Source organism: Homo sapiens, chromosome 13 (genome assembly GCF_000001405.40).
Source record: "Homo sapiens chromosome 13, GRCh38.p14 Primary Assembly".
NCBI classification, from domain to species: domain Eukaryota; kingdom Metazoa; phylum Chordata; class Mammalia; order Primates; family Hominidae; genus Homo; species Homo sapiens.
The window spans coordinates 110148260-110171006 of NC_000013.11; the positions used below are offsets into that span (position 1 = coordinate 110148260).

The following is a 22747-nucleotide window of genomic DNA, read 5'->3' on the forward strand; positions in this document are numbered from 1 at the left end:
TTCAGTAGAAACTAAGTCTAATGATTTTAATTTTCTTCTCTACCCTTCTATATACTAAGGAGAGCAAAAGAACGCTTTTCAATGGTTTTGTCAAAAGTGGTGAAAAGGTGGCGAATCGGGTCCCTGCCGCATGGCCTGCCTGGAGCACTGTGCTGCGTGTTCACATTCTGTCCTTCGTCTTCACAATGGCTCTGGTGGGTGAGTTAACTGAGAGCATCATCGTATTGAGAGCTTTTTTCTGAGTATTCAGTAACTCACTCATTCTCCGTGGACTATATTCTGATCCAGCTCAGACTGAAGCTTAAGTCATTAGGGAAAAGAAATCAGCCATCTATTTTTTTTTCCTATATCAAGTAATACTTGGAATCCAGCCCTCTACTCCACTCCTAATATAACTAAAATCTCAGCTCTAACCCCCAGTGGATTCACACTTAATGGCTATATATGTGTGCTATTCATCGCTGTTTATCTTCTACTTAACCAATGCCTGGGAAGTGGCATTTGTAGAGTGAATGAATGGAAGGATGGAGAGATAGATGACAGCTCTCTGGGGGGACAGAGGGAAGGATGCAAAGGAGGGAGTGAGGAGGCGACGAAAGAGGAAGAGATGGAGAACACCAATCTTTTTTTCCTTGTTGTAGTCACTATAAATCACCCCCAGTCTGTGACTCTCATTTGGAAGAAGTGCAAAATAAAAATAATCTAAGGTATGCAAAGCTTACAAATTTATTAGCAGCTTGTGCAGTAAGTTTCTTTTAATGCGTCTGTGGCAATACTAGCAACAAATTAATAAAAGCTTAATTTTTATACAAATAGTTTTATTACAAATTTGAATTCTTAAGAAATACACATTTAAAGAAATTACATAAAAGGCCTTAGTAGTCTTAGAAATGTTTTGGAGACTTTTAGTGAAATGTCATTTCAGGCCTAGTGGTCCGAATCTGCCCTCCTGCGGTCCATGCGATGCCCTGCTGAGGTCTGTGAACACAGCTCATGAGAAACCACGGAAATGGCCCGAATGTGCTTACGTGTGAAAATACTGATACTGTGATTCAACAGAGCTGTTTTTCAAGCCAGGATGCAGAATGAGGAATACTAATGAAATGACGGCCTTTAAGGTTGTTGCTTTTGAAGTCAAGTCATTCAGTTTGTGATTAGTGTTTAAAACCCTGAAAATATTTAATACAGAATAAAAACAATAAGCTCAAAGTACATGTTTCACTATAATAGACACCATATTCATGAACCTGGGTTTGGTTTTGGCAACACATAATTTTTGGTTTAGAAGTGAACAATGAAAACGGATGTTTCACATTCAATATCCTAGTCTTTAAAAACCTATGTTAAAGGACAGCACAGTCTTTCAAAGGAAGAAAACTATGTAAGCTTTATTTTAACAGTGGAAGTTAAACTAAACCTTGATCTGCCTAATTGCTGACATCTATATAAATTACTAATATATATATATATTTAATTTTTGACTATTTTTGGACCATCTTTATTCCACAGGAAAATTGTGATTTCTGCAAAAGCAGCTGCAAAGTACCACACATAGCAGAAAGACAGAAATTTATACTGGGGGGTTGGAAGATATGGCTACTGAGTCTGTAATTCCATTTGGAGGTTCAAAAAACCATTTTTACATTGCTATTATTTGTACAGACCAAGGGACCTAAATTTTGAAACAGCTAGACAGTGATATAAACAAACATTTATCTCTGGGGGTAGAAAATTAATTATAATACAAGAATGAAAATGGGCAAACAGTATGGAAGGCACCCACACCTCCTAGCACCCTTTGGTTTTCTGATGGAGTTCTCACTTCACACATCAGTGCATTGGATTGCAGAAAATATTGATATTTTATTTCATCAAAAGTGCCATTTGGTATGCCACTATTGAAAGCTTATCGCTGTCTTTTTCTCCTTCAGCAAGTAGAGGTCAATGAAGCAGGGTGTGTTAGTTACGCAAATTCCTATAAGGCACTTTACGGTTTTCATATTGGACAGTGAGGTACACAGGATATATTTCTAGGGTTCGTTGCTGTTAACAAAAAGAAGAAGAAGTAGCACCATGTTGTGACATTAGCTGAGTCAGGCTTCATTATGTTCTTCTCATACAGACTTGGCAGCGGCTGACGTGCGTGCGCAGCTCCCCTGCCTTCAAGGTGGACGGCGTAGGCTTCCTAAAACACGACACAGAGACAGACCATTGGCCATCATCTCACAGCACGTCAGAAACATGGCACTCCTGCCCTGCTCGGAAATCTCTAAGGGATCAGCCCAGCCCCTGGCATCAGGCCTCAACCTGGTACCACCCAGTGAGCAGGCAGGTGCTGGGTGCAGTGCACACACGGTCCCACGCACACAGAACACTGCAGGTTACCAGCTGCACACCCAGGCCCTGGCACCTGCCCCAGTGCCCACAGCCCCATAGGGCACAGCTGAAGTCCCGCCACATCAGTCTGGCTCCGAAGCCTTGGCCATTCCCCTCTGTGCCACCCTGCCTCCTCGTACTACAATTTCACTTTTTTTCCATTCTCCTCCACTAGATCATAAACTCCTCCAGGGTAAGAAGAAGATATTATTCTTCTCTGCAACACTTTACACACACAGTAAGTATTCATTAAATATTTGTGGAATGATGTGATGAGTAATAAATCTGGAGTAATTCCCTAGACCTCGAAATACTTTTATAACTTTTGAAGGATTTCTATGCAGATGGTCTGCTTTGAGACCAAAAAGAGGGAAAGACATTCAATGTCCCAAGTGTTTCTCAAGCTTAGAAACTCTACATTATTTTGATTGTTGAAAAGGTAAAATCTGAACTAAAATTGTTACTGAGAAAATTCTATTAAAATAAATAAATTAATTAAACTAAATTAAAATAGCCATTTATGAGAGTGCCTCATCCTAAAATTGAGGCTGCTTATTTTATTAACTTTTGGTGCAAATTCTAGTACCCTCAAGTTTATTATTTAAATTAATGGGATCTTACCTAATTTGCTTTGGGAAAACATTTTAGTTTATTGTATCAGGCTGCTGGTTAAAAAAAAAAAACCCATCATTACCTATCAACCTTATAAGAGGACACCGCAAGGGCTGAGGCATGAACAAAGTGCGCTCATTTTGGTAGTGAATGGTTAAACTCTATCTGCAGCATGGATGTCAAGTTTCCAGTTCCTTGAAAGGCTCCAATAAACCACCAGTTAGGCACGCGGCACTTTTTGGATGAGTAACGAATTAGAGAAGCGTGTATGTTGTTCTGCCTCTTACTATCTAAGCTGGAAAGAGACAGGATCATAGCAGGGTTCCATATAATTCTCTCCAAAAAGGTGAAGATGGAAAGGCTCATCTCCAGGGGTGAGAAGCGCTTGTTTTGGAAATGAACAGTAAGCAGCTGTGCCAGCTCCGTCAGCCTCCTGCATTGGCTCCAGCGGGGCTGCAGCTGGGGCTCGGGATAGAGGGTTCATTATGCGTTCCTGGCCTTCGGGGACCGGCCCGGCTCCCAGTCAACTCCAGCAAGGTTAGTAGCCACTTGGGCCAGTCATTTTAAAGGTGAGATTTTGGTAATGGAAAAGGAAGGAAGGGTCTTCCCTCTCAGTTTCAGCTGAATTTGTGCTGAAATTAATTTTTATTTGCACAGGTCTAAAAAAATACCTTGTGAAGTCACTCAGAACTTACACAAAGTGTACATTACGATCAGTGTTATGAATGGCATGAAAATGAACGCTGCTCACTTCTTCTCCCCGGGATTGTTAAATATACTGTATTTCAAACATGCTCTGTTTGGAGATTTCAGTTGCTTTAATTACATTTTAGTACACTCACCTAGAAAAAATGGAAAATGACCTTTTTCTTTCATGGTTCTTCGGTAAATGAAAAAATTAAACCTGTGACTGAAGGTCTGCCTTTGAAAATCGTCTCGGTCATCTGCCCATGTCGAACAGCATCAAATATTCATTGCTAACCATCTTTGAGACTTTGCATTGGAAGGTGTTACGGATCGCGGATGATTAAAAAATAAAGTCACAAAGGGGCCAGCAGCCTGCAAAAAAGCAGTGCTCCCACTTACTTGAACATCTCGCTCCTCTCTATGGTGGCGAGCCAAAAGCTGTAAGCGTTTGCGTAGTAATTGCAGGTCCCACGGCCGTGACACTCGATGAATGGCGCACTTCTAAACTCCTCCAGGCAGGAGCCGGGGGACGCCAGGGCTTGGCCAGAGCCTTCTGCACCAGCGCTGGTGTGCTGCAGAACAGATGCGAGCCGTGAGTCAGAGGTTCCCTCCCCAAACACCAGGAAAGAGATCGATCCTTCCCAGGAAGGCGCCAGGGTGTTCCCTCTGGAAAGCCACACACTGCAGCCTCATGTGGTCACCACAGGACACACTCTGTGCCCAAATTATCGGGCTGGCCCGCAAGCCAGTGCCTGCATGGCTGGGGCCCCATGGTGCTCAGCATGGCCCCAGGGATCGTCTAATGGCTGCTTCCCAAATAGGTGACCAGCCCAGCTTCATTAGAGTTTAAAGAAGAGCTCACTGTGTATTAGATTTGAAACACTCCAACCCATTCTAACATGGGTCATGAGACAATAGCCAAAATGTTCAAATAATGTTGTAAACAACTGATGTGGAATCAGACTTTACAAATGCATTCCTGTATTTGCTATATTAGATGCTATTTATCTTATAATAAGGTAAAGAATAATCATTCAATTTTTTTTCTTTAAAAAGAGAGAAAAACAAGAGAAAGAGAAAAAAATAGCTACTACTATATCAAATTGCATTTTGGTCTAGCAGGTTTAAGTAGGACCTTCCTGTACTCAGAAATCAAGACCTTAAAATGAATGACATACAAACTTGACTAAGACATTACAACAGAGCCCCGTGACTATTATTTCAGATATAGGAAATGTGAACTCTAGAATTTTGGAGACACAAGGGACCTTTGAGGACAAGGCTAACTCCACTGATTCCCAGCTGAGGACATTCTCGGATCTGACCAGGATCACATAGCTTCAAGGCGGAGCAGAGGCAAGGACGGGGTCTCCAGACCTCCAGATCAGAGCCACCGTCCTGAGAACTCAGAGGAGGTGCTGGAAGACACTGTTCTCTAGAACGTCACTATTTTCGTTTGCTCCTGATTTAGACAAATTATGGGCAATCACTGTTTCAGGCCTTTTGACACCCGGACAAGGGTTGGTGGTGACAACAGCTTTCCTGTGGGTCCTCAATGCAACTGTGGGCTTTCTCTGACACACAGAGATTCCACTCAGTATTTCTTATGATTATGGAGTGGCGAATCCAATCTACCTTTTAATGAACATGGCAAGCTTACATCATTGTTAGTGTCCTGATTTCTCTATACAGCATTTTCAACCTTTCTGGCTCTCTCGATAAAGTAGTTACAATGCAGCACTTCGAATTATTGCAACAACCTGTTAATCTGGTGGTTGCAACATGAAGAGTGTAGCTGCAGTACAATCAACCCAGCAAATCATACAATCAAACTTGTACACGTGCACGAACATTTTAAAAATTGCTTTCCTGCCAACTTTTTCTACACTTGGAAAAATGTGTAGAAAAGCACAAGAAAAAACCAGTAGAAGGAAATGGCAATGGTGGGCGCCTCGCACACAGCACGTCTGGAAGGTGGAACAGAGACCCTCCACACGGCTGGGGCGCAGGGCAGACGCCACACCATCCGTGAGTTACCTTGTTATCTACCCTCAGCGTCCTCACTCAAACATTAAAAAAATGCTTTCCCGCCAATTTTTTCTACAATTGGAATAATTTACAGAAGAAAATAGCTATGAAGCCTGTCAATCAGATAATAAATAATGTTCATCTGTGGGTCAAATGTACAACTTGCCCATTCCTGACAGTGTGAAGATGGGACTAGGACTTCCAATGATGGTGCAGATGTATGTGTAGGGTCATTTACTGGGAATTGGCAAATTCCGGGATAACTCTGATCTTACAAGTTCACGGCTTGTATATATTCAATCAATACTGCCAACTGGGGTAATAGAATAAAATAAGCTACAATGAGTGTATCAAACAGGGGCCTTGTTTTCTGTTTCAGTTGGCTTTTGTGGGAAAGGGAAGCCCTGGGGCTAGGAGAGCAGTCCTTGCCCTCTGGGAAGGGTCCCAGGCGGCACTGCCCCAGGAGGGCCTTCGTGGAGGCCACGGCCAGCCCTCGGGTGTTCTCTCCCTAACTCAAGCTTCTGCTTTCAAGCTCGTGCATGTTGTAGTAGAATGTGTACTCCCCACGTGGAGGCTCTCTTCCTCCTTTCCCTGAAAGAGGCCTCCACTCCATGTAAAGAGGCTGGTCATATAGAGAAGTTGGTCACATGGAGAAGCTGCTCATATAGAGAAACCGGTCATATACAGAAGCTGCTCATAGAGAGAAGCTGGTCATACAGAGAAGCTAGTCATATGGAGAAGCTGGTCATACAGAGAAGCTAGTCATATGGAGAAGCTGGTCATACAGAGAAGCTAGTCATATGGAGAAGCTGGTCATATAGAGAAGCTGCTCAAAGATGGAAGCTGGTCATATAGAGAAACTGGTCATATGAACAAGCTGGTCATACAGAGAAGCTAGTCATATGGAGAAGCTGGTCATATGAAGAAGCTGCTCATATAGGGAAGCTGGTTGTATGGAGAAGCTGGTTGTATAGAGAAGCTGTTCATATTGCTGGTGCTGGAACAGACCCGTAGAGCACCTGAGTGGAGCAGCCACAGGGAAGCAGAGGCCTGGGCCTGCATTTCCAGGAAGATGCTCATCCCAGCTACCTTGGCTGTGAGCAGGGGAGGGTTCTGGCTGGTGCTGGAGACCCCTGCTGTCACCAGGCAGGGCAGGCCAGGCTTTGAGGCATGCTTTGGAAGGGGATGGTTGGAGGAAGAAGGAGGGGCTTAAGCAGCGAGATGCAGAGAACTCCAAGGTGTGGAGGCACCAGACAGAGGCGACTATGGGGCGTGAGTGGGGCTCTTCCCGGGAAATATGGCGTCTCCCCAGACACTTACCATCACAAAAGAGTAGCCGATCCACAGCGAGGACCACCCGCTGGGGCACGGTGGGATCTGAATGGTCTGGCTGTGCACGGCCATCACCATGGCAGGCGCCTCACACACAGCACACCTGGAAGTGGAGCAGAGACACTCAGCACAGCCGGGGTGCAGGGCAGAGGCCGCCCTCCATGCACTGCCCCGTTACCTACACTCAACATCCTCACTCAGTCTTTCTGGTCCAATTACATATTAAGTAGAAAACATTGTGCCCATTGCTTAGACTCTGAGGTTTAGTACCTCCCCGTTGGTTTTATAAGCCTGTCTCAGTATTAAAACATTCAATTCAAAAATAGAGCAGGATGGCTGGGGGCGGTGGCTCATGTCTATAATCCCAGCACTTTGGGAGGCCGAGGCGGGTGGATCACCTGAGGTCAGGAGTTCAAGTCCAGCCTGACCAACATGGAGAAACGCTGTCTCTACTAAAAATACAAAAAATTAGCTGGGTGTGGTGGCACATGCCTGTAATCCCAGCTACTCGGGAGGCTGAGGCAGGAGAATCACTTGAACCTGGGAGGCGGAGGTTGCAGTGAGCCGAGATTGTGTCAATGCACTCCAGCCTGGGCAACAAGAGTGAAACTCCGTCTCAAAAAAAAAATTAGAGCAGGACACAGGCCTGTAGTCCTGGCTACTGGGGAGGCTGAGGCAGGACTGCCTGAGGCCAGGAGTTCAAGGCTGCAGGGAGCTATGCTCGGCCTGCCTGTGGGCCACTGCTCTACGGCCTGGGCAACATAGCGAGACCTGCCCCTAAAATATTGTTTAAAAAATAGATCCAACACGAGTTATTTAACTGTCTGTCTTGTAGAAGGGGAAAATAGGAAGGCAAAGCTCTAACAGTGGCTCTCCTGGAGGGGCTGGGGTTACAGGCAACTTTTCTTCTTTGGGCATTTGAGTGTTTTCCAATCTTTCAACAATGCATACGTATTTCCACAAGCACAATAAATGCTTCAGAAAAAATGCTGGTGAAATCCAAGAGCTACTCCTTCTGGAATGCAACAGTTTGAAGCTACTAATAATCTTTAGTATAAGAAATGCACTTAGTGAGTTGAGTAACTAAGACAAATAATGCATGCTTTAATGAACTTAAGGCTGAATGTCCACATGGGCCTCCTGCGGGAAACTTGTCTTTTTGGTCTGCCCTCTTGGCTCAGATGTCCAAGGTCCAAGGCTGTCAGCATCCACTGCCGCTGAAGTGACCTCCAGAGGACCCTCCCAAGGACAGGATGCCTCCCAAGCCAGGCTGATTCAGCTCAGCCTTGGGACTGCACCAGAAACACATTAAAACAGCACAGTGTTCTGACTAAGACCCTCTCAATGAAGGGAACCCTTGATGGTGGGATAATGCTTTGTTTAAAAAAAAATTAAACGTCAACAGTGAATAATTACATTCAAGTCACAAAATGAACAGAGTGTTAACAATGCTGATAAATGACTATAAATGGTGTCAATAATTACACCTAGTTATACTGGGACATTTGCATGAACGTGGATCAGAAGGGGGAATAGGGCTGAATGAGTCATTTGATTTTCCATGGACTTGTGTGTGTGTCTGTCTGTGTGTGTGTGTATGTGTGGTGTGTGCAATTTTCTATTTTATTCACCCAAATGCAGATGAATTAAAAGGTTCAGTTAAACAACAGTGACTGAAATTGGCCTTATACATCTGCCACCATCTGTTTGCTAGACACGAGACCTAGAAATACAGCCTGGAGGGAAGGGTTTTGTCTTTTTCAGACTGTCTCTGGGCTGAGGGATTCAAGGGTCCTGCCCCATTGCAGGCTTAAAGAGCTGTGTGATTCCTTAAAATTCACATGGCCAAATTCTCCATATTGCATATGAAGAAACTAAGGCCAGGGTTAGTTGTGTCCAAGACAGAACGAAAATGCAGTTCTCCTTGCTCTCAATCCAGCGGTCTTTTCGTCAGAGCAATTAGCAATCAGTATTTATTTCGTGAGTCTTGTCTGCAGAAAGCTAGAAAGTACTTAGAAAATTGTGCCCTACTATCGGATGAAAGCTGGAAAACTGCCACCTTTTCTGCTCAAAACGAAGGCTTTTGTGTCATTTGCTGTTTCTAAAATTTAGCTTTCGGACCTCCCTAAAGGGAAGAGCTGAGAAGGAACCTGTAAGTCCTGAGAAGTCGTGGAAACCACTAAGTTCAGTAACCGTGGAAACCTGCTTGCTCAGAGACAGGGACAAAGGGGCAGCCTCTCTACGAGAGGGAAGTAGAGGCAGACTTGATGCAAAAGCAGCAGCTTCAAGTACATGCCTGGGAAGGTCCCTTCATGCTGAGCTTCGATGTGTCAACTAACAGGAAGACATAAAAATCTGGAAATGTAAAGTCCTGGGACATTTCAGGACTTTCTGGTCCAATGACATGTTAAGTGGGAAATGCTGTGCCCCATTGCTTAGACTCTAAGGTTTAGCACCTCCCCGTTGGCTTTAGAAGCTCATCTCAGGATCAAAACATACAGAGACTTAGACTCTTGGTGCTCAAAGACCAGGGGTGTTTTACTGAGAGGAATGCATCACACAGAAATGCTGGTCTCAGACACACAGCTTCTCTGAGACCTGTTTTTGGACTACCACCAGGGCATGCCAGAGCTCCTGTCAAGGAGCTCTGAATCAAGGTCAAATGTCAACATTGCCAAGAAAGTAAACAGGAAACCTATCAATGAATAGTCTTTTTCTACCTGTTGTGTAAAAGAAGCTAAAAAAAGAAACCCACAAAAGTTGTTACTTTTCCTTCTAGTTATCAGGCATGGTTCTGAGCAAGAAAAGTCTCAAAACAGTCAATATCTGGCAGCCACTCACACAGGTGAAGTATTGCCTGCATTCTGAAAAGTGCCATTCTGGAAGTGTAATGAATGATATTCTCCATTTTAAGACCTATAAAATAAGTTTTCTTATAGCTCAAAAAAAATCAAAGAAAACTGTCAGTAGATATTTTAATGTAAGGGGATCAAAGATCTAAGATTTTCCTACATAGGAGGCACCTTCCAGCCCTCTGGTCCATGGTCCCACGTGGCATAGCTCTCTCACTAAATTGTCATCTGCCAGGAATTGCCTGGCACGTAACCCTGGTCTTCCCCCAAACAGGGCATGTTCATCTAATGAAAGGAGTTGGGCTAAAGGCACAGCCTGGGGCAGCTGGGCAGGAGCTCCAGGGGTGACTCCAAGCATTTGCTTCCCTTTTCCCTTTTCTGTTGAATGTAGGGCACTTCCTACCTGATACTGCTACATCTTTCTTCATATTCAAAGACTGCTGATTTCTTTAAAGGGAATATAAAAAACTTTGTATCTTTTTTTATCATTATCTTAATATGTAAAAAGTAAAATTACGGAATAGCTTCTTAGTCAAATGAATTTGTTCACTGGCCACTTTCCTATTATTTCTGAATATTTCTAAGAAATAAACTTTTTTTTTTTTTTTTTTTTGAGACAGAGTTTTGCTCTTGTCGCCTAGGCTGGAGTGCAATGGTGCGATCCTGGCTCACTGCAACCTCCGCCTGCTGGGTTCAAGCAATTCTCCTGCCTCAGCCTCCTGAGTAGCTGGGATTACAGGCATGTAACACCACACCCAGCTAATTTTTGTATTTTTAGTAGAGATGGGATTTCGCCATGCTGGCCAGGCTGGTCTCGAACTCCTGACCTCAGGTGATTCACCTGCCTTGGCCTCCCAAAGTGCTGGGATTACAGGCGTGAGCCACTGTGCCTGGCCAGCAATAAACTTTTAATTAGAAGGAAAGAGGCAAAGAGAGGACAGTCATGTTATTTTCAGTGGTAATAATTTCAGTTTTCCATCTTACTTCCTATCAGGGAGGCTCCTGGGGCCTGAAAACGTACTTCAGATATTAGTGCGGATAAACACTCAAGGGAGATCGCTCAGTCCAACACATGCATTTTCGATGGGTACAATATCACCCAAGGGAGCAAAAACTGGTGGAACTGGGGAGTGTGTGTATTATTGTATAACTTTTTATGTATAAATCTGTATAATTTTATGTATAAAGCACAGATATACATACAATACACAAACAGAGGAGATACACAGTATGTCTGCGGTATTACGATTTCATAGGGGCCCCCTCACACCCATTGGGATGGCTACTATCAAAAACGCAGAAAACAACGCATGCTGGTGAGGACGTGGAGCAACTGGGACCCTGTGCGCTGTGGCAGGAATGTAAAGGGTGTGGCCACTGTGGAAAACAGCATGGAGGTTTCTCAAATAACTAAAAATAGAATTACCACATGATCCCACAATTCTACTTCTGGGTGTACCTCCAGAACAATTAAAAGCAGGCTCTCAAAGAAATATTTTCACACCCATGTTCATAGCAGCATTGTTCACAATAGCTGAGGTGTGGACAAAACCTAAGTGTCCAGTGACAGAGGAATGGAGAAACAAAACGTGGCACCTATGCACAATGAAATATTATTTGGCCCTAAGTAGGAAAGAAATCCTATCACATGCTATAATATAGATGAACCCTGAGGACATTATGCTGAGTGAAACAGGCCAGTGACAAAAGGAAAAATACTGTATGATTCCACTTACATGAGGTGTCTACGGGGGTCAAATTCACAGGGACAGAAAGTAGAATGGGGGGTCACCAGAGGCTGGCAGGAGGGATGTGGAGTCAGTGTTTAACAGGGACAGAGTTTGAGTTTGGGAAAATAAAAAAGTTCAGGAGACGGATGGCGGTGATGGTAAAACAACACTGCAAATGTACTTAATGCCACTACACTGTGCACTGAAAAATTATTAAGATGGTAAATGTTATGTTATGTCCATTTTACCAAAATTAAAAATAACTTTTAAAAAAATTCATAGGGGGCCGGGCGCGGTGGCTCACGCCTGTAATCCCAGCACTTTGGGAGGCCGAGGCGGGTGGATCATGAGGTCAGGAGATCGAGACCATCCTGGCTAACAAGGTGAAACCCCGTCTCTACTAAAAATACAAAAAATTAGCCGGGCGCGGTGGCGGGCGCCTGTAGTCCCAGCTACTCGGGAGGCTGAGGCAGGAGAATGGCGTGAACCCCGGGAAGCGGAGCTTGCAGTGAGCCGAGATTGCGCCACTGCAGTCCGCAGTCCGGCCTGGGTGACAGAGCGAGACTCCGTCTCAAAAAAAAAAAAAAAAATTCATAGGGGCAGGGATGATTCAGAAAACAATGTCTTAAAAGGCTCCTTGGGGAAGCTGTTACTTTTTAAAAAGAAAGATTGAGCAACACTGTTCCAACGCTTGCTGAAGAATCGAGTGGCATCACCTTGCTCACAGGAGGAAAGGCAACCACCACAGTGAGTCAGGCAAAATATAAATTATCTCTGCAAGCCTGGCATTATCTCACCATGGTTTTGCACCACAATTTTAAAAGAGAATAGCTGACTCTTTTTTCTTTTTGAGACAGGTTCTCACTCTGTTGCTCAGGCAGGAGTGCAGTGGTGTGGTCTCAGTTCACTACAGCCTCAACATCCCAGGCTTAAGTGATCCTCCCACCTCAGCCTCCCTCGTAGCTGGGACCACAGGCTCACACCACCACGCCCAGCTAACTTTTGTATTTTTTGTGGAGATGAAGTCTCGTCATCTTGCCCAGGCTGGTCTTGAACTCCTGAGCTCAAGCAACCCTCTCGCCTCGGCTTCCCAAAGTGTTGGGATTACGGGCATGAGCCACTGTGCCCAGCCAACTGACTTTTATGTCAAATAATTTTTATGGTAGATTTCCATTACAAAACTCGAATATCACAAATAATAAGCTAAATGGCAATGGATTCAACGTTTTGGAGAAAAATAGAAAACATATGCTTGTCCAGACTAGAGACTTTTCCTCTTCAATTTTGCATTTGTTCCTACAGATGCTCGACTCACCTACTAATAAATGGTCTTATGTTTTCCCCCGTGATGGGTGCCATTGACATGGGCATGGGCTCAGGGGTGGACAGCCAGTACGAGTAGTCATTTCGTGATGCAAAGTTGCACACGTTGTTAATATTGCAGAACAGGAAGGGCATTGTGCTGAACTTGCGCAGGCAGCTGCCGGCCGTGCCTAGACAAGGAAGAAGACAATGTGAGATGTTTCCTTTATAATTCACAATCTATCTCTATGTAAAGTGGATTTCAGCTGGACAACAAGCAAAAACATATAATCAACATAATCACTGAAATGGAAATGTATAAAGGATTATGTAGGACATTTTTGATGAAAGGAAACAAAACCAGTTTACCAGCACAAAGAAACCTTTTCCTAAAGCTGAATTCTAGAAGGAACTTAACACATGGTTCGTTATACGATGGATAGTAACAAATTGGGCAATGTCTTTCACAACAGTTTTGCAGAAAATGCAGATGCTCTTTCTATAGCAGCTTGCTGATTCTAACCCTGATAAAAGTTAAAGGCAGAGAAAATTAAAACACAGTTTGGTGGAGGATATCTGGGTCAGATTAAGATAATGAGGACAGATATGTAGCTTTCTGCTGATCTAAACTAGAGGAGCAGAGCTCAGCAGCTGTAGAGAATTTCAGACAGGATAACATGGACCTTTTTTTTTACAAAGAGCAATGGTTAAGCCGCATCAATGCAAATTGTTAAGTGCACTCCAGGAATCTTGATCCTACTTGATAATTTGAAGATGAGATCTAAAGTTTTATTAATTTAAAGATTTTCGAAGATTCAGTCTCCACATTTCTTGGCTTGCCATTAGTAATACAGCAGCTGTTGAACCGATTATTTGTAATCAATGGAGGGAAATGGGGCCGGGCTGCTTTTTCACTGGCTACCGCCCTCATGGCGCAGTGTTTCACTCGCTACTGCCCTCACTGCAGCAGCAGAGGCGAGTCCAGCACTGCACACCGAAGGCACTCAACACACCTACACTGAATGAATGCATGGATCTGCAGGCTTCTTACCCAAGTCCTGGCCATGGGCCCGTTCATTGCCTTGCACGTAGAGCAAAGAGTACCCGTGGTAAAGAATTTTGGTCCCAGAAGGACACTGTGGGTCATCTATTGTTTGACTATGCCTGGTCACAAGGAAGCCGTGATCAACAGATGGGGTGCCTGGGGGCCCCATGGATCCTGGCAACCCATCGGGGCCTGGTGGACCTGGAAATCCTCTTGGACCTGGAAGATAGGAGACAAATTAGTTTCCCTAATTACAAACACGCTCCCCTAAAGGCTTTCAAAATCATTTTCTCCAAAGAGTTTTTAATATTTTATATTTCCACAAAGTATCCTACCTATTCATGTTACCAAAAAAGTCTAAAAAGAATGCATGGCTAACTAAATACAGCAGCCTACCTCCTTCATGGTGTCTTAACTTTTTCTTTTTACCTGCCACCTCAAGATATTTTTATAAGCACAGTTCTCGGTGCAGAGCAGATGCTTGAACAATTTAGTTCAATGAATATATGACACATATGAAAATGGATATATGAATAAATGAAAATAAATGAATGACGTGACTCTGTGCATGTCATTCACACGGAATCGTGGGGCTCCTGTTGGGGAGGACTATCATAGAATTATTAAACAACCTCATCTTAAGGTGTTTCTTCCTCCATAGCAGCCCAAAGCCTGCGTATGGAAATGGAGCAGTAAGGGACCTCGCAGGCAAGGCCTGCTTCTGTCCCCTCTCTAACTGTGCCACGTGCCAAACTGTGCCCAGGTCTGCTGGGCTGAGCTCTTTGTTCAATTAGTCAGTGGCCTCAGCCTTTTGCATCATAGCCTTCACCGGACACTCGAGTGTGCCTTCTCCTAAGGAAGCAGATCAAGTTCATCCCATGCCTTTGGGCCAATGCTGGCATTATTTTCATTTCTACTTCCCTTGTCCTTTGCTGAAATAGAATTTTCACAGCTGCAGCTCACATCCCACTTAGGAAACCACATGGGCCACCACTATTGGCTGCCTTTCAACAACATCTGGGAAACGTACACTTTGATCAATATCTGTCTCTACACAGAAAAAAGAACACTTCTTCAGCTCTTCTATTTGATTCTATTTCTTCTAAGAAACAGACTTCTTCGGAAATCTGTCAAGTGATATATCCAACTTCATTCTGCTGTTTCCCCATGCCTGGTTCTGCTCCTTCTATCCCAAAGATCCTGGTCAAGGGTAATTACGTTGGAAGTTTCGCAACCTACCAGTAGGCCCGGCAGGTCCCATCTCTCCTTTCTGGCCAGGGGCACCGTCAAACCCAGGAATACCTGGAGGTCCAGGTATACCCACCAATCCTGTAACACCTGAGGCAGAGGAAAAATAATTTATGATCCTGTATGGCAGTAAGCTGTATCTCTTTCTTCCCTTCTTAAATGTCCTTTTCAGTGTTCAAGGAGCCAAGCATAAAGTCTCACTGCAGATGAGAACGTTTTCTCGGACAGCCAGGAGTTGCTTCCCACAAAGTCGAGTACAGACTTTGCAGAAGCAGCTGGATATTCATAAGGGGGTGTGTGTTTGGGCACCTCGTTCTGAGTTCTCCCTGGTTTCTTGCTGTTTGGCAGATTGGTTTGGAAAAGGCAGGTGATGTGGAGGGAATGAGAGACTGGATAACTTTCCCTCTCAGCCATATACTGGGGTCTCAATTTTTAGGCAACAGATATACCAACATGGATAGTTTTTTTGTTTTCATGTACATAGCTTGTTCTTCTTCTTTCTTTCTCTCTCTCTTTTTTTTTTTTTTTTTTTTTTGAGACAGGGTCTCGCTCTGTCACCCAGGCTGGAGTGCAGTGGTGTGACCACCGCTCACTGCAGCCTCGACCTCCCGGGCTCAAGCGATTCTCCTACCTCAGCCTCTCGAGTAGCTGGGACTACAGGTATGCACTACCACACCTGGCTAATTTTATCATTATTATTTTGTAGAGACAGACTCTCCCTATGTTGCCCAGGCTGGTCTTGAACTCCTGGGCTCAAGTGATCCTCCCACCTCAGCCTCCCAAAAAGCCGGCATTACATAGGTGTGACCCAGTGAGCCTGGCTAGCTTATTCTTAAGTATCATTAAATTTTCTTTGATGCTTTCAACTTTAAAATGTTTTCATTCTCCTTTACTTCCCACCCACTCCTTATCAGTAGCTCTTCAAATAGGAGATGTTTCACTCAAATAAGCAGAAGACTATGTTAGGGTTTCAGGAAATAACAGAGAATTGTACAGACAGTGCCAATCAGGCAGCGCTCCTGGGGGCATGGATGGAGAGCACCGATTTTTACCATTCCAGATTGCTACATGCCACCCCCATCTGGAGCGGGAGGCAGGAGGGGGAAAGGTAATGATCTGGTTCTTTGAGCCCATGTTTTTCTAACTGAACACAGATGTGTTGTTATGTGTTCCTCTAGCTTTTCCTGGGTTTTCTTCTGGATTTTTTTTAGGTCCCTTTAAAAATGTCATAGGTTTTGATATGCATTGAAGGGAGGTAAGAAACTCATATTCATATGTGTGTGTATAATCATTACCCAGAAACTTATTTTAGATACATGGGTGAGGAGGAACTCTGACCACTGCCCCTCTGGGCTCCCCATACCGCCCTGCACAGGCCAAGCCTTCTCACCTTGCTGGCCTTTCGGGCCTGGCAGTCCCTGAAGCCCTTTCAGCCCTGGGGGGCCCTCAGGACCAGGGAGCCCGGGCTCCCCTTTGATGATGTCGTAAGGACCTGGGGGGCCAGGAGGACCCGGGAGACCTGTGGGAATAGGGAAGGCATTGATCAATTTCACTGTCCACATACTGGGGCGGAAACAACTTTAGAAGGAGAATCCCGGGTGAAGCTATCCAAATGGAACGTACTTCTCAAAGGTAAAGTCATTATCAAAACCCAGGTAATCAGATCTTCACAAAACATGTCCAATCTGCACATCTTTATTATTTAACCTGAAATCCTGAACTCTCGGGCAAAGGCATTGGGGCATCAGCGTAACTTCCCACTGCATTCTGGGCTCTGGGACCCCTGACAACTGCCCTGCAGCCTCATGCCAGCCCTCCCAGCAGGGAGAGAAGCTTGTTCTTCCCAAGCAGCCCCCGCTTCTGACGTGGAGAGTGCCACTCTGCGATTAGGACATTTTTCCCACACTCATCTGAAACCTGCCTTACTGTATAGTATCACACTGGTCCTGATCTTTGAGTGACGAATGAACTTAATCCTTCTTCTGCATGGCAAGTCTTGGCATGTGGTAAGAACCACACAAAGTGCGAGTTCCCCTCAGCCTCCCCGTTTTCAGCCCAATACCCTCAACTCTCCCTCCCCTTCCACATACCCTCCCTCCCCTTCCACACACCCTCCCTCACCTTCCACACACCCTCCCTCCCCTCTCCTTCCTTGGGTTCCACTTCTCAGGGCATGTGGTTTCTCATTCTCTCTCCCAAAACATGGTTTGGAAAATTAAATGATGCCCTAGAAGTATGGTCTGCTGTAAAGAGGAAGCAGGATGAATACTGTGCTTAAACCATTCCCTTTTGAGATGATGTGGTTTTCGGCGACTTTCATGCTGTAGGCTCCCACCGGTGGAGAAGCCAACAGCACCTTTCCCAGGAAGAATTCTTTACTGTGCAGCAGGAATGCACTCCGTCTCTAAGTGCAAGATTGATTTTCTTTCCTATTATAACTTTCAGTGGTTGATTTCAGGCTAACTTGAGAGCCTTGGGAAGTTTCTGAATTCTGAGCCTGTCAGTGAGAACCTCGGCCACCCCTCCCCTGGAGTTCCCTCAGTCCTGGATTTATCAGATTCTACTTTCAGACAAGTCGCTGGTTAAAATGTCAACTACAGGAATCTTGACTTGCTGCAAAGAATTCCCTATCAATTGTTTTTAATGATTTTTGAGTCATTTCACATATGAAAAACCAAACACCCCAATTCTGTGCATTCCTGGCTTTTACATTTTCACAAAGCACCAGTAAGGTGTCCACAGATCAACAAACTCTCCTACCTTTAGCTCCCGGGACGCCTTGATCGCCTTGATCACCTTTAATTCCCTGGAGGCCAGGAAGACCTTTTGGACCTAAAAGCAGAGGGAAAGCACTGTCTTGCACAGAATTCCCAATGATATACAAATATGTGTGTGTATATATCTCTCTCTAGTGCACACACATACATGTACACAAATGTATAGATAAATGCATATACACACACATATACTCATATATGCATACCCATATATACACATTCATACACCTGCTTATGCATGCATACATATACACATACATATACACACATATATGCATATATACACATATATGCACACATAGACAGTGAACAAATTTCCAATTTATCTTCAAGGAAGAAAACAGCATTATTTCTGGTCACGTGTGTAAAACTTTTAATGAAACTCTTTTTTCTAGAACCCAGAAGCTACATTTTTATAAGCATGCAGCCAACTGTAAAATGATCCAACTAGTGGAGGGGCATAGGGCACTGTTTTTGGTCCCGATCTGATTCACACATGTCCCCAGTTGGACCACAAGACACCTTGAGGCTGCGACCTGTTTTATTCACCTTTCACGTGTATCTGACTCAGCAGTAAAAACTGCAGTGCCTGGGGAGCTGGTAAGCAGCCCAAAAATGTGTGTTTAATATATGAATAAATTAATGAATAGCCCAAATCCATGACTTCTTATTGAGATATTAATGATCCACTGATTCTTAATAAGAAAATCAGAATGTCTTTACACTGGCATCCATAAGATTATACAAATTGGGCTGCCACACAGAAATGCCATTTTTAATTTGAAGAGAACAGTATCTCGTGCTATAATGGCAGCGGTGCTATCAGTGCTAAGGTGCCCGAGGTTAGCAAGCTCTTCACACAGCGTCTGCTGCTGCAAAGGCTGTGCAGCAAGGTCTGTGCTGTCTTACCTTGAAATCCTGGAACTCCTGGAGGCCCCATATCACCCTTAGAGCCTGTGATTCCTGGAGAGCCACCAATACCCTAGACACGCAAAGAGGAGGTTGGGAATTGCTCAGGATATGTAGGTTAAGTCTCTCCAGTAACCTGCTAGTTGGAAAATGGAAACAGCCCCTCAATGTTCTGGAAAGCACATTTGTGAACAAATGGTGCCTTGTGGTTTCTTAAATGACAGAATAACAACACCTTTGCATGTGCCTCAATCGGGAAGCTGGAAAGTAGAAGCATTTGTTTCCCTCCCATGTATCTCCTCTGCTTGTCCATCCACAGGGGAAGCGCCTGAGGAGCAGGCAAATGTCCTGCCCTTGCCACCTCCAGCTCACAGCACGATGCCATAGACAGAGCCAGGGCCCCCTCAACACCTGTGACGGCAACATAGCCATCCAGCACCAGCCAACGAGCTTTTCTGAAAACTTTCCCCTTAATCCTCAAGTGCAATCAGTTTTCTTTAGAATTAGTTTCATGTCTTATCTGAAAACTGATTTTAAATATGCAAAGAAAATTAAGAAATGCTAAGGAACGAGTATTTTCCTTTATACTGTGGCAATATTCGTGTATTTTAAAATAGGGGCTCATTTTCTTTCCATTTCAACAAGTCGTTCCTTTCTCAAGTCGTGGACAGCAACATGTAACAAGTTGTTTTATTTCTTACGTAGATTTGTTTCTTAGCCTTATTTTAAAAGTGTCAAACCAAAATAACATGAACAAATATATATGTATATAAACATATATACAAACACATATTTATACATAAGTATGTATACAGAGACAGACAGACACTGACTGGCACCAGGAATGGGGTGTATTTCTTTTTCTTCCTCTTTTTTTTTTGAGACAGAGTCTCGCTCTGTCATCCAGGCTGGAGTGCAGTGGCACCATCTCGGCTCACTTCAATCTCTGCCTCCTAGGTTCAAGCAATTCTCCTGCTTCAGCCTTCCAAGTGGCTGGGATTACAGGCATGAGCCACCATGCTAACTTGTGCATTTTTAGTAGAGACAGGGTTTTGCCATGTTGGCCAGGCTGGTCTCGAACTCCCCACCTCAGGTGATCTGCCCACCTCGGCCTCCCAAAGTGCTAGGATTACAGGCGTGAGCTACCAGGCCCAGCCGGGAATGGGGTATATTTCTATGTTACTGAGGAATAAAAATGAGAATACATAAATATTTGACAAATTACCTAGGCTTACATTACTGGAAAACTGCAATATAGCAATAGGGGCCCAAAAATACATTCACATACACATTTGCTATACTGTGGAGATATACACAGCTTTGAGGACAAGGAATGGGTAAACATGACTGTTGCTACTCCTTATAGCCAGTTCTGCATAATTATTTATAAGCATTTCATAACTTACTGATTCAGAAGTAAATCAGCACCACGTATTGTTTTGCACCCAGCAAGCTTAGCTATTCTGTATCCATCCTTGAGAAAGTAGTCTGATGACTCTAAGATATGTCTCTGCTGCTGATGAGCAGTTCAAAGCTTTCCCTTTAAGGGAGAACATGTGTTGACTTACAGAAGAACCCCGCTTGCTCCAACATAACTGCAGAGGTCTGTCTCAAATCCCTCCTATTCATGATCTCCCCTGATATACTCTCTCTTTCTCCTAACGTGTGTTAGAGAGAGACAGAGAGACAGACAGATGGAGACAGATAGAGGAAACAGAGAGACAGACACAGAGAATAAAGCTCTGCTAATCCAGCTATTTGAATGAGCGAGCCACGTAAACACAATCCTTTAGCCATGGACATGGTTAAGCTAAAAATCAAACCAAAGATCCATGACCACCACTAAGAAGGGCTATATATTCAGGTGCAGCAAAGAGCCAAAGTCACACACACACACACAGAAATACACAAGGCTGCTGGTCACTTATTGCACCCTGAGATGTGCTCTTCTGAAGGCTTGTCTAAGTCACCACTTAGACTCTGTATCTGGATCAGGTCAGTAAAGAAAGATGGAATATTGCTGGTTATCTTTTATGACTTGAACTGTTCAACTGCAATTCCCTGTCCTCCTGCCAGTCCTAAGAGATGGCTGGGCTAGTTTTACAGAATTGTTCTCTGCAAAACAACATTGGCTTGCTTTTTACATTGAGTTTGTAAATAGGTCTTAAATTTAGGCATTGAGCCATAATTTCCAGCAGTATAACATTTCCCTTTTATGGTTCTTGGAAAACTGGATTGTAAAAAAATGTTACAATAGTTTCCTACTCTGATGCCAATAAAGATGTGGGTTACTGGCAAGAAAGAAAGAAAGAACTGATTTAGTGGGGATGTGGGAGTGTAACACACACACACACACACACACACACACATATATATACATACACAAAATACATACACACATAGACACATATGAATACTTCTGGCCAGAAAAGACTCCTTTAAAAATAAAAATCTACAAATCAATAACTCACAGGCATGCCCTGGAATCCAGGGTCTCCCTTGGGCCCTGGGACACCGGGTGCTCCTGGCCAGCCTGGATTTCCTTTGTCACCTTTAACTCCATCAATCCCAGGAAGCCCTGGAGGCCCCATGGGTCCCGGAAGTCCTAATGGAAGAGAAGAAAGCCACACATTTGGGGTTAAATATGCACAAGTGTCCCTGGGCTGTGGGGCTATCAATACTGCCACCCACGGCCCCTCACTGATACAACACTGGACCAACAGTGACAACCCTTGAGACAGAAATCGAGGCAGGTCCAGGAAGGAAGGAAGGAGGGAGGGAGGGAGGGAATAGAAACACTACTATCTCTGATAAAACACTGGACCGACAATGTGAACCCTTGAGACAGAAATTGAGGAAGGTCTGGGAAGGAAGGAAGGGAGGGAAGGAGGGAGGAAGGAGGGGAGGGAGGAGGGGAGGGGAGGGGAAGGAGGGAGGGAGAGAGGAAGGGAGGAAAGAAGGAAGGAAGGAAGGAAGGAAGGAAGGAAGGAAGGACAGACATAGAAATGCCACTGTCTCCGTGTCCAAAATGGCCTGCGGTCAGTGGTGCCCGGGCATCTGTGCTACCACTACGGGGGTCTTCACCAGAACCCACAAGTGGGCCCAAGTGCTGCGCTGGTTTAAGTCCAACGCCACCGACGGGGCACGAGTCCAGGCTTGTCCAATCATTTCCTTTCTTGCATCTCCCTAATTACTTAAATTCCTTGACAGAAAGGATACAAGAAAAGCTTTGACTCGATGGGGGCCAAACACAATTTCAAGCTGTAATAAATGCTGCAGACTTCTAAATAAAAAAGCCCAATTGAGAATTTAACTATTTCTTTTACGCTATTTCCTTTTGTGAATTCTGTCCCAGTCCTCAGCCCTGGCCCCTGGCGAGATGCCCTTACCTGGCAGGCCAGGCTGGCCCTGAGGTCCGCGGTCTCCTTTGGGCCCCTCCGTGGCATGGCCTGGGGATCCCGGTAACCCCGGCTGTCCCTGGGGCCCCGGAGGACCCATGAATCCTTGCTCTCCTTTGGATCCAGGAATTCCTGGGCTCCCGGCTAATCCTGGGAAACCCACCTCACCCTTTGAACCTGAACAAGAAAAACAGTTTGAGGTGATGGGAAACGCAGCAGCAGAACAGTAATCTCCAGCGTGGACGGCAGAGATGGGATGAGGCGTGCCTCATCCTGTAGGTACCGCTCAGAGGGAGCTTCCAGGGACACCACAGGAAACTGCAGCAAGGGCTCCGATCCCTCCTTCTCTTTAATAACACACTAGAATCCGACCATGGCCTGGCTGGAAAAAGAGCTCAGAATGCTAGGAACCCAGCTATCGTTTTCATACTTCTCACGAGACGTGTTCTAT

General features: G+C 44.6%; 1 protein-coding gene across 1 annotated transcript in view, besides 2 other annotated features; it reads right to left on the reverse strand.

Annotated features, from left to right (window-relative positions):
• COL4A1 (collagen type IV alpha 1 chain) overlaps positions 704-22747 on the reverse strand; it is a 158195-nt gene continuing 136151 nt past the window's right edge. Inside the window, exons 42-52 of the mRNA NM_001845.6 lie at positions 22288-22473; positions 21370-21503; positions 18899-18971; positions 17973-18044; positions 16603-16731; positions 15204-15302; positions 13971-14183; positions 12933-13110; positions 7024-7138; positions 4075-4247; positions 704-2185 (exon numbers count right to left, since the gene is read on the reverse strand). Coding sequence (NP_001836.3) covers positions 2104-2185; positions 4075-4247; positions 7024-7138; positions 12933-13110; positions 13971-14183; positions 15204-15302; positions 16603-16731; positions 17973-18044; positions 18899-18971; positions 21370-21503; positions 22288-22473 — 1454 coding nt within the window. The 3' untranslated portion in view covers positions 704-2103. The remainder of the gene's footprint in view (positions 2186-4074; positions 4248-7023; positions 7139-12932; positions 13111-13970; positions 14184-15203; positions 15303-16602; positions 16732-17972; positions 18045-18898; positions 18972-21369; positions 21504-22287; positions 22474-22747) is intronic.
• Positions 6273-6904: an enhancer, noted in NCBI's record as "NANOG-H3K4me1 hESC enhancer chr13:110806879-110807510 (GRCh37/hg19 assembly coordinates)". NCBI's record gives its function as "activates a minimal SCP1, AML or CMV promoter by ChIP-STARR-seq in primed H9 embryonic stem cells {active_cell/tissue: H9 hESC(primed)}" and the evidence as "EXISTENCE:reporter gene assay evidence [ECO:0000049][PMID:30033119]".
• Positions 6905-7536: an enhancer, noted in NCBI's record as "NANOG-H3K4me1 hESC enhancer chr13:110807511-110808142 (GRCh37/hg19 assembly coordinates)". NCBI's record gives its function as "activates a minimal SCP1, AML or CMV promoter by ChIP-STARR-seq in primed H9 embryonic stem cells {active_cell/tissue: H9 hESC(primed)}" and the evidence as "EXISTENCE:reporter gene assay evidence [ECO:0000049][PMID:30033119]".